Here is a 16,708-nt window from a genome sequence, read left to right as displayed (position 1 = left end):
GATAAATGGAAACTACTTTCTGATCAATTTTTCTGTAAATCTAAAGTCTATTAATTTAAAAATATTCTCAAATAGAAAACTGCAGACACAGGCTTCATTGAAGAATTCTTCCAAACATTTAAAAAATAACAAATCTCATAACACTCTTATGGCAAATAAAATTTTAAAAGGGAGGCAGCACTTCCCTACTCATTTTATGAGGCCAGCATAACCTTGATATAAAACGTGACAAAGATGGTTACAAGGAAGGAAAATTACATACCAATCATTCTCACGACATTATAGCAATATTTATACCCTAATTCTTGGAGTTCTGTTAGCTCCACTGTAGAAAGCCACTATAAAAGAATGTCACCCCCAGCCAAATAAGAAAAACAGTACAATATTCAAAAATCATACATTCTGAACCCATCAGTAAACTGAAGCTATAAGACAACCAAGTGAATTAAATTCCAAGTAGTAACAAGCTCCTTCAAGGACAAATGAGATTCTAAACTACTTCACCTTTGGCAGAGCACAGGAGGAAAAGGAAGCTACCATACAAGACAGTAAGAAATGAACTAAAATGTTAACTATCATAGACAAGATGTAGGCTAGTGTGTCGGTTTGGAATAATTTTGGAACCCAAAATGCAAGGGGAATTCACACACATTTGCATAGTCTTTTCCATAGGTCTATGCCAGGTGCCCATACAAAAGACTGAGAGCAGAAATCTACAAAGAGCACTCTGGTGGCACAGGTGTGCAAAACGAGATAGGCTGCCACTGCAGGACAAGCATAAAACTGCTACCTTGGCCAAACTCTCCTCTCATCTGAAGCAAAGGACTAAAAACACTGGGGAAGGTTCAGAAACCCTCCCATTCTGAAGACAAGGCAGTAATTCACTGCTTTTGGGGGTGGGATAGATACAAAAACCCTCAACCTCATAGGAAAATAAGAAAACTCTCTTGGGCCCAGGATCCTACAACAATACAAAGCAGAGGTAAATTAGCACTAGGGCAGGGCAGGTATGGGTCTTTCACTCAATACCACAGACACAAGGCAGAACTGGGCTGCCAAAGGGATAAGGGGATGGAACATGCCAAAGCTGGGAAAGCTCCACATCCAAGGATAAAGCACATGGACTGAGTCAGAAAAACAGATGACTCCTGCACCTACTGTGAGCCCAGGACTGAATAACAAACAACAGACTTCTGCTGGGGACAAGAGCACAAAGAGAGATCTCCCCCTGAGGAACAGGCAAGGAGACAGAAGAAAGTCAAGGATGTAGTAGAAACAATGAGAAAAACTCTGTAGTACCCTAAGATCTATGCCAAGCACAAAGTAACAGCAGTCTACTACTGGGTTTTGTTGTTGTTGTTGTTGTTGTTTGTGTTTTTGAGATGGAGTCTCGCTCTGTCCCCTAGGTTGAAGGGCAGTGGCACGATCTTGGCTCGCTGCAACCTCCACCTCCCGGGTTCAAGCAATTCTCCTGCCTCAGCTTCCCGAGTAGTTGGGATTACAGGAATGCACCACCACACCTGGCTAATTTTTGTATTTTTAGTAGAGACAGGGTTTCACCATGTTGGCGAGGCTGGTCTCAAACTCCTGGCCTTAAGTGATTTGCCCACCTCAGCCTCCTAACTACCTCTAGTTTCAAAGGAATCTGAAGCCTGTGATATACTGAAGGTAATGACAACAATAACAAAACCCAAACCCAGCTTGATCCTTGTCTATATTGACTGAAGCCCCTACACTCAGTAAGGATATAGAATACTGAAACAAAATTGCCTACTAGACCTAATTGACAATTATGGAACAGAAACAGCAGAATAAGCATGCTTTTCAAGTACATATGAAACAAACAAGATAAAACATATTCTGGATCATAAAAGTAAGTAAACAGCTAAAATCATACATATTTTATTCTTGACCATAAGAGAATTAAACTAGAAATCAATCAGAGAAAGATAGTGGTAAACAACACATTTATAAATAACCCATGGGTTATTAGAACCCATAAAATCACAAGAGAATTTTTTTAAATTTTAATTGGGTGAAAATGGCAATAGACTATATCCTAATTTATAGACACAGATAAACCAGTACATAGAAAGAAATTTAGAGCATTTAATTAGAAGAGAATAAAGGTCTCAAATCAAAAATTTAAATTTCACCTAAATAGCTTTAAAAATGCAAATTAAATCCAAAGCAAGCAGAAAAAAATAATAAAGGAAAAAAATCAGAGCGATTGAAAACAGAAAAACAATCAAACCAAGAGCTACTTCTTTGAAAGTATTGATATAATTGATAAATCTCTAGCCAGATTAATTAGGGAAAAAGAACACATGGCCAGGTGCGGTGGCTTATGCCTTTAATCCCAGCCCTTTAGGAGGCCAAGGCGGGCGGATCACGAGGTCAGGAGATCGAGACCATCCTGGCTAACACGGTGAAATCCTGTCTCTACTAAAAATACAAAAAATCATCTGGGCGTGGTGGCAGGCGCCTGTAGTCCCAGCTACTCAGGAGGCTGAGGTAGAAGAATGGCGTGAACCCGGGAGGCGGAGCTTGCAGTGAGCCGAGATCATGCCACTGCACTCCAGCCTGGGCGACAAAGCGAGATTTCACCTCAAAAAAAAAAAAAAAAAAAGAACACATATGACAGTATAAGGAAGGAAGGAGGGGCTATCACTACAAATCCTACAGACACTAAAAGGAATATAAGGGGATCATATAAACAATTTTATACCAGTAAATTCGTTAAAATAAATTAAGTGCGGCAACTTCTTGAAACATAAAAACTACAAAAGCTTACAGAAGAAGAAATAGATAACCTGAATGGCCTGCATATATTTTTAATTGAATTTTTTTAATTAAAAATGTGTCCATAAAGAAAACTCTAGGCACCAGTGACTTTGCTGGGAACTCTACCAAATATTTAAGGAGCAAATAATATTAATTCTACATAAATTCTTCCAGAAAATAAGGAACACTTCCCAACTTATTTTATAAGATCATCATTAACTGGTATCGAAAGCAGACAAAGTGTTACAAGAAAAAAAAAAACTACAAAGAAATATCTTTTTTTTTTTTTTTTTGAGACAAGGTCTGGCTCTATCACCCAGGCTGAAGTGCAGTGGTGCGATCTCTGCTCACTGCAACCTCTGCTACCCAGGTTCAAGCCATCCTCCCACCTCAACCTCTCAAGTAGCTGGGACTACAGGTGCGCACTGCCACACTGGCTAATTTTTGTATTTTTTGTGGAGATAGGGTTTTGCCATGTTGCCCAGGCTGGTCTCAAACTCGTGAGCTCAAGCGATCTGCCCACCTTGGCCTCCCAAAGTGCTAGGATTACAGGCATGAGCCATCGCGCCTGGCCACAAACCAGTATCTTTCATAAATACAGTTACAAAATCTTCAGCAAAATGTTAGCAAATTGAGTCAAGAAATATATAAAAAGAATAATGCATCATAACCAAGTGGAATTTATCTCAGGAATACAAAATTGGTGCAACATTCAAAGCCAATCAGTATTATTCATCATATCAACATGAGCAGGAAAAATAATATGAACATATCTACAGATATAAAAAAGTACTTAACAAAGTTCAACATCCATTCATGATAAAACTCTCAGAAAACTAGGGATAGAATAGAGCTTCCTCAACCTGCAAAAAAGCATCTGCAAAACATTGCACTGGAGGCATTATCCAGTACAGTAAGTCAAGAAAAAGAAATAAAAGGCACACGGATTGGAAAGGAAGAAGTAAAACTGTCTTTAGTTCATTATGATACATGTACCTGGAAAATCTTAAGTAATCTACAGAAAAGGTACTATAACCAATATATAAGTTTAGCAAGTTCTCAGAATACATGGTAAATAGATTAATATCAATTGCATTTCTGTATGTTAAAAATAAAAAATTAAAACTTAAGTCACCATTTATAATAGCGTCAAAAACCACAAAATACTTAAGGGGAAAATCTCAACAAAGAGTATGCAATATTTGTGTGCTGAAACTACAAAACACTGACAAGAGAAAATAAAAACAACATAAATAAATGAAAAGATAAACTGTGTCCATGGGCCAGAAAATTTAATATTGCTAAAAATCTCGATTCTCCCCAAATTGATCTACAGATTCAACATAATCCCAATCCAATTTTCAACAATTTTTGTAGTAATTTATAAGAGGATTCTAAAATTTATATAGCAAAGCAAAGGACCTAGAATAGCCAAAATAATTTTGGGAAAAAAAGGAACAAATTTGGAGGACTTTGATCTCAAGGCTTACTATAAAGTTACAAAAAGCAAGACAGTGTGGTATTGTATGATGAACAAATAGATCAATGGAACAAAATAGAGAGCCAGAAATTTTGTGTGTGTGTGTGTAATTGATTTTCGACAAAGGTGCCAAGGAAATTAGCAGAGAAAGGATAGGTTTTTCAGCAAATCAGTAATGGAAATACTGGATATCCATATGCAAAAAAAAAAAAAAAAAAGCTTACCTTGCACCATATACAATAATTAACTCAAATGGATCACAAAATGGATCACACTTCTACATTTAGGATCACAGACCTAAATGTAGAAGCTAAAACTATAAAACTTCTAGAACAAACAAACATAGTAGAAACTTTTTTAAGACCTTGAGTTAGGCAAACACTTTTAGGTAGGGAACAAAAAGCACAAATCATAAAACAATTGATAAAAATTTATGTCACCAAAATTAAGCATTTTTCTCTTTCAAAGACCCAGTTGAGAAAATGAAAAGATAATCCACAGACTGGGCAGGGTGTGGTGGCTCACGTCTGTAATCCCAGCACTTTGGGAGCCTGAGGCAGGCAGATCACTTGAGATCAGGAGTTCAAGACCAGCCTGGCCAACATGGTGAAACCCCATCTCTACTGGAAACATAAAAAATTAGCTGGGCATGGTGGTGGATGCCTGTAATCCCAGCTATTCAGGAGGCGAAGGCGGGAGGATCACTTGAACCTGGGAGGCAGAGGTTGTAGTGAGCCGAGATCACACCACTGCACTCCAGCCAGGGTGACAGAGGAAGACTCCGTCTCAAAAAAAAAAGATAATCCACAGACTGGGAGAAAATATTTGCAAGACGCACATCTGATAAAGACTTACATCATATAGAAAGAATCCTTACAACTCAACAATAAGAAGACAACACTATTTTTTTTTTAATGGGCAGAAGATTTGAAGACTACCTCACCAAAAAAGATATAAGCACATAAGAAAATGCTTAATATCATTAGTCATTAGGGAAATGCAATAAAAGCTACAATAAGATACTATTACACTTCTACTAGAGAAGTATAATTAATTAATAAAAATAAATAAAAGACTGGCAGCATCAAGCGCTATCAAGGACGCAAAACAATTGGAACTCTCAGAATTGCTTGTGGGAATGGAAAATGATACAGCCACTTTGGAAAAGTGTGACAGTTTCTCATAGAATGAAACATTACACTTACCATACAAGTCAGCAATTCCAATCCTAGGTATTTATCCAAGAAAAAAAGAAACAAATATCCAAGCAAAATCGTATACTAGAATGTATATATCAGCTTTACTTATAATCTCTAAAACCAGAAAGCAACCCAATGCCCTTCACACAATGATGAATAAACAAGCCATTGTACATTCAAACACTGAAATATTACTCAGCAATAAAAAGGAACAGAACTACTGAAATATCAACAAAATGGATGAATCTCAAAAGCACTGTGTTAATGCCAGAAAGCAGGCACAAAATGTACAAACTGTATGATTTCATTTATATGAGTCACAAAAAGGCAAGGATCTCAATCAATCTGTGCATCCTCAGTGCCTAGCATGTTATAAAATATCCAATAAATGCTAGGTGGTGGACGGATAGACGAGGAATAATTGCAGGGAGGGTAAACTGCAAGAAAGTGATACATTGACGAGAAAGCAGAAAGGTACTTGGGGGCCCAAGTCCACCCACAGGACGGAAAAAGTGAGGGAAGGCATGGTCCAAGCTACCTTCAGTGAGTCCAGCAGCTTAAAAAATTAGACCCTGTAAATGACTACAGGAATAGATAAATGAGTAAGCGTTTCTCTGGTCTGAAAAAAAGGTGTGATGCGCCCCACCCTTCTTTAAAAATCTATTAACCACGCCTGGGGCTGAGGCAGCACAGCTTGCACCGGACAGGGAGGTGGGGTTTTTTTGTTTTGTTTTGTTTTTGTTTTTGTTTTTGTTTTTGTTTTTGTCTGTTTGTTTTTTGAGCACCAGAGCGGAGCTGGAGAGGTCAGAGGCGAGCTCTGGCTTGGGTGAGGAGGGTGAAGAAGAGACATCGCCGCGGCCCCGCCCGTCTGCATCCCTTCCCACTCGGCCTCACTTACCCAGGCCTGCCGTTCCAGCTGAGAGTACAAATTGGAGCCCTTGAGCTTTTGGACTATCTGGGCAATAATGAGAGAGAGGTCCGACTCCTCCTGCAACATTTCCCCTGCCCTAGCCCGCCAAGCCGCGGGGACAGGCCGCCGGCGCGGAGCGAACGGGCTACCGGGTCCCACTCAGGGCCAGTGACACTTCTCCGGGACCTTATTACACTGGGACTCCTCCAGCGGGCGTTACCAGGCAACTGCCGAGCCTTGTGTCCGTCCCTCTCTGGTCCCCTCAGCGCCTGAAGGCCACAGCATCTGCGTTCCGCCGGCGGAAAAAGACCGGGGCGGGGAGGACGCTTTTCACACCGTTGTTCCTGCCTTGTCTATGGTTGAAAGGCAAGAAAGCTCATTCTTTCAGAGCCACAGCGCCTCTGATGCACAAGGGGGACACGGAGAATTGTGCGTTTTACTATATAAAGGATCATTCTCTTCCACCTCTCAATTTCTGCAGAAACAGGACTGTGGCACGCAATGATACTGCGAATTACAACCACGAATTGTTAGGCTCTGACACTACCTGCGTAAACGTGTTACAGTTTCCGCCTCTGTAAAATAACACCCAGTTTGCAGGATGTTGTGATGATTAGCTGAGGTAAAAATCGTGAAGGTGCCTAGCACTGTACCATAGCACTCCATTTTACTTCATTTTCTCTCGTTTCTATTCTCTAGAGTCTTATACCAGGAATAAGTAGACAATCTCGTCTCATCTAACAACTACAAATTAACCAACAGGCATTATTTGTAGGTTTTCTGCAAAGCATTAGCAATTCAAGGATGAATAAGACATTGTCCAAGTCTTCCAGGAATTTACCGTCTAGATTCATCCTCTTCCGTATATTCATTCATTCAAGCATTTATTCATAATTCATTCAGCTTTCAACTTATTGAACATTTACATAAAAGGAACTGTGTGGGCACAAAGGTTTAATAAAATATGGTTCTTGCCTTCAAGGAAATGCACAAAAGATTTTTAGCAGAACTAAAAGTAACTGACTTAAATTATTGAATGACATCCCCAAAGGCCAACGGCACCTCCCTTCCCCCCCCAAAAAAGGCCTAGTGAAAAATACATTAGAATAACCTCACAAAAATAATCAAAATTGAGTTCAAATGTGTATATGCATATTTTAAGCAAAGCAGAAGTAGGATTTTAAGAAAACAAACCAAGATTGCTGCAAAAGCTACTCTAGACTAACTAGAAACAAAGAGATCTCATTCAATCAAATGTAGATTCTAATTCAATAGGACTCTGGTGAGAACTGGTAAACCGCATTTCTGACAAGTCCAAGAAATTATGATGCCGATGGTCCAAAGACTACATTCTGAATAGCAAAGGACTAAAGCAGGAAATAATATGAATTCAAAGGGACTGGACCCGGGCCTCTATGCACAGCACTCTGACATTTATAACACCACCATCCAGAATACTGGGATGATAAGTACAAATTCTAAATAATTTGGTAAAGTTGGTTTATCAAACCAAGTTTAGAAAGAGGCAGCCAGGAAAGAAACAAAGCACTTAAAGGCAATTAATGACAGACTCTCTAAAGTGCAGTTTCTCTACAAAACATTCTCTCACAACTCAGAATTTCTCAAAGCTGCAGATAAGTAGATATTGTCAACTCTTTATAGTCCTTCCATCTCAACTGTCCACCCATCCATGAATTCCCACCACAAACCTCACTTTGAACAGAGAGAAAGAAGAGGCAGAGAGAGGAGAGAGAGCACTACCATAACAGTCCCTTTGAGATTGAAAGAAGTGGAGTGATTAGCTGCCAAAGAGATAAAGATGCTTCAGCTGAAAAGATTAGTAGAGCGTTGAAGGGAAGGATGAAGCTGTAGAGCAGAAGAAAAGGCATAGATAGTGCCTGGAGTCAGAAAACATTCTGGCTTCCTTCCTAGTATGTACCCTGGGAATTGCATGAGTCTCTTTCCCTATCAGTTTCATTTTCTTCTCTGTATCAAGAGTGTAAAATATCCAACTAAGGAGACAGTATGAGGAACAAATGTACCAAGTATTAGACTATTAATATATATTAATAAATTAAATATTGAAACTGTGATAATTAAATAAAAATAATGCCCAGTACTATTGACAAGGGAATGGAAAGTAACTAAATAAACATAGCAACATATGTGAAAGTGCCCAGAACTATTCCTTGCACAGATGGAGACTTAAATAATTTTGTTAAAGAAGAGAACAATTATAAGCTTAAAGCAACAATTACGAAGTTTGGCTCTAATTCGGAAAGCATGTCCAAGCAAAAAAAAAAAAAGTCCCTTAATCCTAATATCTTTAAATTGTTTTTTACATACATAGAAGCAGATGTGTCGGAGTATAATTTAATTACAGAATGGTCTTTGTTCTCTATTTCCAATTCGATTTAGCAAAACTTTTCAGAACACCTGCTCTAGGCAAGAAATGGCAAGGAATACAAAGATAAGTAAGAAATGGTCCTTTCTTTCAAGAAATTTCAGTCCCAAAGGAATTATGTGGCTGCTATACAAAGAGTTATAATGATAGATAGACCACTTCAGTCTCCCACCTGTGTGTCTGGAAATTTTATTACTGTAAAGTCATTGTCTCACAAGAAACTGAAGGTACAGATTACCATCTCCATCCCACAAGGCGGAATTTGGCCTTGAAAATCTGGTGGCACATATACACCATGGAATACTACGCAGCCATAAAAAAGAATGAGTTCATGGCCTTTGCAGGCCATGAAGCTGGAAACCATCATTCTAAGCAAACTAACACAGGAACAGAAAACCAAACACCCCATGTTCTCACTCATAAGTGGGAGTCGAGCCATGAGAACACATGGACACAGGGAGGGGAACATCACACACCAGGGCCTGTTAGGGGATGGGGGGCAAGGGAAGGGAGAGCGTTAGGACAAATACCTAATGCATGCGGGGCTTAAAACCTAGATGACAGGTTGATGGGTGCAGCAAACCACCATGGTACATGTATACCTATGTAACGAACCTGCACGTTCTGCACATGTATCCCAGAACTTAGAGTATAGTAAATAAATTTTTTAAAAAAGAAAATCCTTACTGTACCCAAGGTGGGTAGAGAACAGGAAAATCCTCTATTTCTGACATTTCAGAGTGACTAACAGATGAATAGCAAGAGGGGGTGCAATTTTATCTGAATAGTTAAAACTATACAAAGAGAGACAAAATTAAAACAGATGCAGAGGGAAATCTCCTCAAAATTCTCTGAAATTTAGGACAGAGGTACTTCTGGGCCAACATGTATAGGGCTCTGGGCCCAACCCTGCCTTTCTCAGACCTGCTTGGTTTGATCTATTCTTCATATAATGCTGTGTCAGATTTTACTGGGGAGGGGCAGAGGATGCATTTGAAAACCACTGACTAGTGGTATCACATGGCAAGGTTGTGGAACGCATTAAAAACAACCTGCCAGCCTAACTCAAAATTGAAACACCCTTCAAGGGTACACTGAAACATATCTTTACTTTATTCACATGAGGGTGGCTTGTATAAACTGTACCATCTGCAGTGAAAAATACTTTCCACTGTTGTTTTAGAAAGAGACTGCTTTTAACATGCCATGTCTGCAGAATAAATTCAACTGTTTGTTGACAGGAATTTACTTAGAATAAACAAAAATCATGATGTGTGTTGTGTGTATCACACATGTCACAGGCCTCACTGTCTTTGGGAACAAACGAGGTCATATTGATGTCAATTACCTGTCACTGGATAGTTAGCCCCATTTGTTGGCACAAGACCCCAGGCCCCTCTTCAGAGTCTCTTCACATTCCAGGAGTCCTCAGGAAGTAATACATGTATGCTTAAAAAGAAACTGGCTCATTGTCTTCTACTCTGCCTGCCTCGGGATGTCTGATGCCCTCAAGCCACTGTCCAGGGTGCTTTTCTGGGTGCTACAAAAGCACCAAAGGTGCTTAAACCCCAAGGTTCACAAAGACCTTTATGGGGGAAAAAAAAAGCCCCTTCTGCTTCTGATTGCCACCTCTCATTACAATGGCAGTCATACCTCTTTTCTGAATCCAGGCTGAGTATCAGACTATGCTCTCCTCCTCCACTTTCCCGTCTTTCATTCCTGTGGTCCCAGACAATTTATGTGAATGGGGAGGACTGGGCTACTGGCTCCAGGAGTAATCTCAGGGACCGTGTTGACTCTATGCAAAAGGGAAAACTTACAGGAGAAAACCTAACTGTGGTTTAAATAATAAGATCTTTATTATTACCAACAAGTCTGGAGGAGAGTCCCAAGGTTGGTTCAGTGTCTCAGAAACATCAAGTTTCTAAGCTCTTTCCATCTTTTCCATTCTACCATGCTTAGCGTATTGACTTTCCCTCCCTGGCTTATCGCCGCAGTCTCGAGATGGCTGCTGCAATTCCAAATATCTTGTCCTACCGCTGTCTTGAAAGGCAGGAAAGAAGATGAAGTTGGAAGCCATCATTTTCAGCAAACTAACACAGGAACAGAAAACCAAACACCGTATGTTCTTACTCATAAGCGGGAGTTGAACAATGAGAACACATGGACACAGCTAGGGGAACAACACACACTGGGGCCTGTTGGGGGTTGGGGGTTAGGGGAGGGAGAGCATTAGGACAAATACCTAATGCATGCGGGGCTTAAAACGTAGATGATGGATTGATAGGTGCAGCAAACCACAATGGCACATGTATACCTATGCAACAAACCTGAACATTCTGCACAGGTATCCCGGAACTTAAAGTAAAATTTAAAAAAAAAAAGGCAGGAAAGAAGGGAGAAAAATTTTAAAAGTTCTCAATGTATACATTTCTGTTTGAGTAAAGAATATTTTTCCAAGAAGCTCCGAAGAAGACTTCCCCATAAATCTTACTGCCTGAAGCTTTGTCACATGATCACCGCTAGTTACAAGAGAGTCTGGCAAGAGATGATCTGGTGTTTCGTCCTCAATTCTTGGAGAGAGATGAAGGAGTAGAAGAATGTATGGTTTCTTCTGCCGTGATGTCCAAAATGACTTCTATGTGAGAGTGGTACTGGGATATGAACCCCTGTGAATGATATTTGGGCCACAAATAGACTACTTAAGAGTTAGACAATATCCAGATTACTGACCATTCACACAGAGTTGGTTGTGTGTGGTTTAGACTGAGAATCTAAATTATAGTACTTATCTAGGTGGCATTTGCTTAGTATCGTGGTGACATTTTGAAAGGTAAACACAAATAAGGCTAACCCATTGCAAAATGAGGCCTATGAGTAGCAGATTACATGACAGGAGCAGAATATTTGCAAATGTCATTGTAAAAAAGACAAAAATTGATGACTTGTGAAGAAAGCAGCTTGCTCATAAATTGCTTTCAACTAAGGCCTCCCTATATCTGTTAGCCACTCTACTGGAATTTGAGATTATTCCCTCTGTTGAGTTGTACAAAAGAAATGAACATCAGAAATAGTCTATTCTCTAATACAATCTGTACAACTTGGGGCAAAAGAGGTTTACTGATAAAAAATGATGTTCTAGTTTTTCTAGGCACTTCCTCTAGGTTTCAGCTAACAGTAGAGCAGGATTCACTTGGCCTATTTTCTCCTCAATTCTCTGATCACTACTCTCTTCTCACCTCCTCCAAACTACACCTAACACATACATAATTGCACGTGCTCTCTCTCTCTCTCTCTCTCTTACATTTCTACTCCAGAATGTTTCCTTTTTCATGGTTCTTTCTTATTTTGGGCTTTCCTCCATTGCCACCTGGGAAACTTACATGCCTTTCACCATCTTTTTTTATCTTTCTTGTTCTTCCAGTTCTCTTGAAGGCCTAGCAATATCTACAAGACAAGCATATGTTATGAGAATAGGACGGCTGCAATATTGGTCCTTGAGATCAAATTGAAGATTGCAGTTGGACCTGTCTCCATCCATTATGGAAGTTAGCAAGTTGTCCATATGGACACAGATGGGGAATTAGGATCAAGTTATAGGCCTGGAAATGTCAGAGGCCCAGTAATTTGGGAGCAGAGCCAAATGTGCAGGCACAGCAAGGAGCTCTACTGCATAACTGGCGGGCCCACTGTAAGATGCCGTGCACAAGAAAGGGGACTAGGGCAGGGACCAAAAGCCTGTTACCAAGACTTAATCCTGAAACAAACTCCGTGTAGTGGACAGAGCAAGACCATGGACCCTGGAACAAAGTGGGTGTCTTAGCAAGGAGAATCCTTTTAAACAGGACACTGAATTAAGTGTTTGACACAAAGGAGAAGAGAGAAGAAAAAAGACAAAGACTGCACTAAGACAATAGTTCTTAGCTCAAAATTTCCTTGAATGCTCTTGTTTTATCTAAAAAATTTATGAAACTATGTATGTATTCCAAAATATGCATGTGTTTATTATAATATAAAAAGGTTTTAACAATGCGACATCCAGAAAATGAATGCACCATTTTTATCCTTGATTTTCAGTACACTCCGGGCATACAGCTGTAGGCTCCCATGCAGTCTCTCATAAGTCCTAGTGACACTGAATCCAGTGGCCCACAGCCATTCCCTTCTTGTTAACATGCCCTGTTGTGTCTTCCTTCCCTTCCCTGTCTCACTTCCCCACTCCCCTACCAGTGTTTCCTAGAATTACCTCTACCTATTAGACTCTTTGTACTCAAATTCTTATTTTAGCATCTGCTTCTGGGGGAACCCAACCTGTCTAGTACCTAATATGTTGCCTGGAAGGTAACAAGTACTGAAGATGTGCTGGTTGAAGAAAAGAAAACCCATTTCCAATTTTCCCCAGGAGGGGACTGTTTGGCTGGGTTCTTGCAACTTTAAGCATGACTTTCCAGACCAGCAGAGTCCTCCAAGCCTTGCACTGGAAACAAAAAATGACAAGAGAGGTGTATCACTCAAAGTTCCCAAGAGGAGTCCAACAAATAGGAGAATACACACACACACAGACACACACACACGCACACACACACACACACACGAGAGAGAAGAGAGATTTTAAGGATTTGGCTCATGTGACTGGGGAGGCTAGCAAGTCCAAAGTCTATAAAGCAGAGCAGCAAGCTGAATGTTCAGTTAAAAAAAAGTTGATATTGCAGTCTTGAATCTGAAATCCATAGGACAGACCAGCAGGCTGAAAACTCAGGCAGATTTTCTATGTTCCAGCTTTAAGGAAGAATTCCTTCTTCTCTAGAAAACCTCAGTTTTTGCTGTTAAGGCCCTCAACTGATTGGATGAGTCCCACCCACATTATGGAGGGTTGTTTTACTTGAAGTCAACTGACTGTAAATGTTTTTCACATCTACAAAAATACCTTTATAGCAACACCTAGATTACTGTTTGACCAAACAACTGGGCGCCATAGCCTAGCCAATTTGACACACAATTTTAACCATCCCAACAGATACAACAGGTTCATGACATAGCCCTTTACCTGGTCATACCTGGCCCTTGTCCTGGTCATACCTTCATCCCAGAGTCTTATTTTACTGTGGCCCCTCTCTTCATCTCCCTGACATCTGCTAGTGGCTCTGTGGCTCTCTGCCCTGCTGTGTTGTTCTTCTGTCCGTGAATTCTCTGCTGAATTGGACTCCACTCTTGGGGACTGACTTCTTGAGCGGGGTCCAAAGTCCCTTCCAGAATGCCCCCCCCGCAGGAATTTCAATCCAGTGATTTGTTGTGTAGAGCCTCAAACAAAGTGTGAGATTCTTTCCAGATTCCCCAAACAAAATGAAGTTTAGTTCATGGAACTACACATAAAATATATGTCAAATAGCACTTTTGTTAACGAAAAGGAAAGGTGGCAAAATCAAACTGCAGCCCCTGGGGAGAAGGGGAATGACAGCTGTGATTTATCACTAGCATTTTTGTCAGAGCATTTTTTAATGCCGTTACTTACTGTCAAAGCATACTAGAAACACTTTGAAAGCGCACCACTGACACATTACATCAGATAAATAAATGTTTCCATCTCAACTGACTCATTCGCTGGAACAACTTCACTTGACAATACAAATAAAGAAAGAGGACAGGAAATGTGGATGCTTAAAAAGTACATTTTTTGGTTTTCAGGGTGAGTGAAGATGTAACATTTTTTATAAATTTTAAGAATTATTTTTATATTCCTGAAACAAGAGCCATCAAAATTAGAACAAACTTGGGAAGTCAAAAATTTCATCTCCTTTTGACAAGAGTGAAATGTATTCTTTCCAAGGGTAAAATTAAGAGAATTGCTTCGAGTCACACAACAAGATGGAGGCAGAGTTCCAAGTTCAAAGCCAAATTTTCTGACAGTTTGTCCTGTGATTTTCTACTATCTTGGTGTGGGTGACTTGTTACTGTGTCTTTTCTTTTCTTTTCTTAATTTTTCTTTTTTCTGCTCCCTGCACAGATCCACAGAAAGAAACTAATGTATCTCATTTAACCCTTGTAACACCTCACAAGGTAGGGGTTATTTTCTCTAATTTTAACAGACTAGATAATGAACACCTGAAAGGTAGATAACTTGTCAAAAGTCACAATAAAGTCCAGAATAACAGCTGGGATTTGCATGCAACTTGTTCACATTTCTTCTCTGGGACAAATCAGAGTAATTTTTGCCTCACAAATGTTCAGGTTTCACTTTTCTCTAACAAGCCCAACTGGTGATGAAATTGACAATTCCAGAAGTTTTCAGAACTCCTCCTTTCTAACAGTGACTATATTTAAATTCGATAACTTCTATTGACTGAAAAGCTTATAAAGTATAAAAGAGGAGAATATTTCCCTTTTTCCATTGTGCATTCTTCACATCTCTGGGAAAACTTCCTCTGGACATCTAATATCTTCCTCTACATTATTAATTTCTAGATATTAGAAGAATAATAAGATTTTATTACATCTTAGAGATGCAATCTTAAAATGTCAGAAACATGATTAATAAAGAGAAAAGAATGTGGGGCTTTGCAGCTTGATAATACTATTTTGAGCTATTCTTTTTGAAAATATATAATATTTTCTCTAATAAATGGATAGACCTAAGGGTCGGTTTTGCTATTTCTCACTTCAAAGATAATAATAAAATTTAGAGAATTGTTAGTTTTGTAACAGAGAGCAATTATTTCTTCAAGCTATTTCTTGATTTAAATAAGCCTTATTAGACTTTGAAGTACCTTTGCATTTATCCAAGAGACTATTGTTTCCTTGGAAGGATAGTTATGAGTCCAACTTTTTTCTTTAGTAACTAAATGACCTTGTCAGAGACACTGGGATATTGTTATGTTCAAAACAATTATTTGGAAGAATCTGATTTAGATGTAAACGGGATACATTTTCTAGGCTCTGCAAAGAATGGAGATGATACAAGCAGAAGGGTATAGTGATCATGAGTTTGGAGCTTATGGTCAGGTAGACACAGGTTAGATACTGCTACGGTATAGATGCTTATCCCCTCCAAACCTCATGCTGAAATTTGATCCCCAGTGTTGGAGGTGGAGCCTAAATGGAGAGCTGTCTGGGTCTTGGGGCTGATCCCTCATGAGGAGATTAATACCCTCCCTTGGGGGTGAGTGAGTTCTCTCTTTATTGGTTCTCATGAAAGCTGGTTGTTGCTTCCTCTGTTGCCATGTGCTCTCTGCACATACCACCTCCCCTTCATGAGGTCTTCACCAAATGCAGATGCCCAATCTTGGACTTTCTAGCCATTGAAATTGTGAGTCAAATAAAACTGGTTTTTTTTTTGAGGTGGAGTTTCATCATGTCCTCCAGGCTGGAGTGCAATGGCGTGATCTCGGCTCACTGCAACCTCTGCCTCCCAGGTTCAAGTGATTCTCCCCACTCAGCCTCCCAAGTAGCTGGGATTACAGGAACTTGCCATCATGCCCAGCTAATTTTTGTATTTTTGTAGAGACAGAGTTTCACCATGTTGGCCAGGCTGGTCTCAAACTCCTGACTTCAGGTGATCCGCCTGCCTCGGCCTCCCAAAGTTTTGGGATTACAGGTGTGAGCCACTGTGCCTGGCCTAACTTTTTTTTTCTTTTTTTAATAAATTACCCAGCCTCAGGTATTCTTTTATAGCAATGCAAAACAGACAGAGACAGATACCCAAGATCTTACCAGTTGTATGATCCTGGGTATTTTTCTAAGGCTCTTTACACCTCAGTTTTCTCATATATAAGATGTGGATAATAATGCTTCCTGCCTTATAAGGTTATTACCAGAATTAAATAAAACACTGAGTGTCAAGTGCTTAGAAGCATGCCTGGTCCCTGGTAGGCCTCAGCGAATGTTTAAACCAGTGCTTCTCAAACTTTGGTGAGTGTTAGAATCATCTAGAGAAC

General features: G+C 39.7%; 1 protein-coding gene across 19 annotated transcripts in view, besides 2 other annotated features; it reads right to left on the bottom strand.

Moving 5' to 3' along the window:
- The window catches only part of TBC1D19 (TBC1 domain family member 19), a 282,243-nt gene extending 268,266 nt beyond the window's left edge, over positions 1-13,977 (bottom strand). For 17 of the 19 annotated variants that reach the window (XR_007057937.1, XR_001741277.2, XR_007057936.1 and 14 more), the window contains exon 1: positions 6,362-6,570. Coding sequence is in view for 10 of the 19 variants with exons in the window: in XM_047415903.1 (XP_047271859.1) it covers positions 6,362-6,460 (99 nt within the window). In the remaining 9 variants the exon portion in view is untranslated. Of the gene's footprint in view, positions 1-6,361; positions 6,571-13,856 lie in introns of those variants that run through there. The other 2 variants (XM_047415904.1, XM_047415907.1) reach the window with 1 other exon arrangement.
- Positions 6,253-6,342: an enhancer, noted in NCBI's record as "active region_21398". NCBI's record gives its function as "activates an Ori minimal core promoter by ATAC-STARR-seq in GM12878 lymphoblastoid cells {active_cell/tissue: GM12878}" and the evidence as "EXISTENCE:reporter gene assay evidence [ECO:0000049][PMID:35858748]".
- Positions 11,253-11,547: a silencer, noted in NCBI's record as "tiled region #5841; K562 Repressive DNase matched - State 23:Low". NCBI's record gives its function as "represses a minimal TATA promoter and a strong SV40 promoter by Sharpr-MPRA in K562 cells {active_cell/tissue: K562}" and the evidence as "EXISTENCE:reporter gene assay evidence [ECO:0000049][PMID:27701403]".
- Positions 13,978-16,708: the final 2,731 nt, after the last annotated feature.

This window comes from Homo sapiens, chromosome 4 (assembly GCF_000001405.40).
Source record: "Homo sapiens chromosome 4, GRCh38.p14 Primary Assembly".
NCBI lineage: Eukaryota > Metazoa > Chordata > Mammalia > Primates > Hominidae > Homo > Homo sapiens.
Note: the sequence above shows the minus strand (reverse complement) of the source record. Positions and strands in the feature narration are given on the sequence as shown.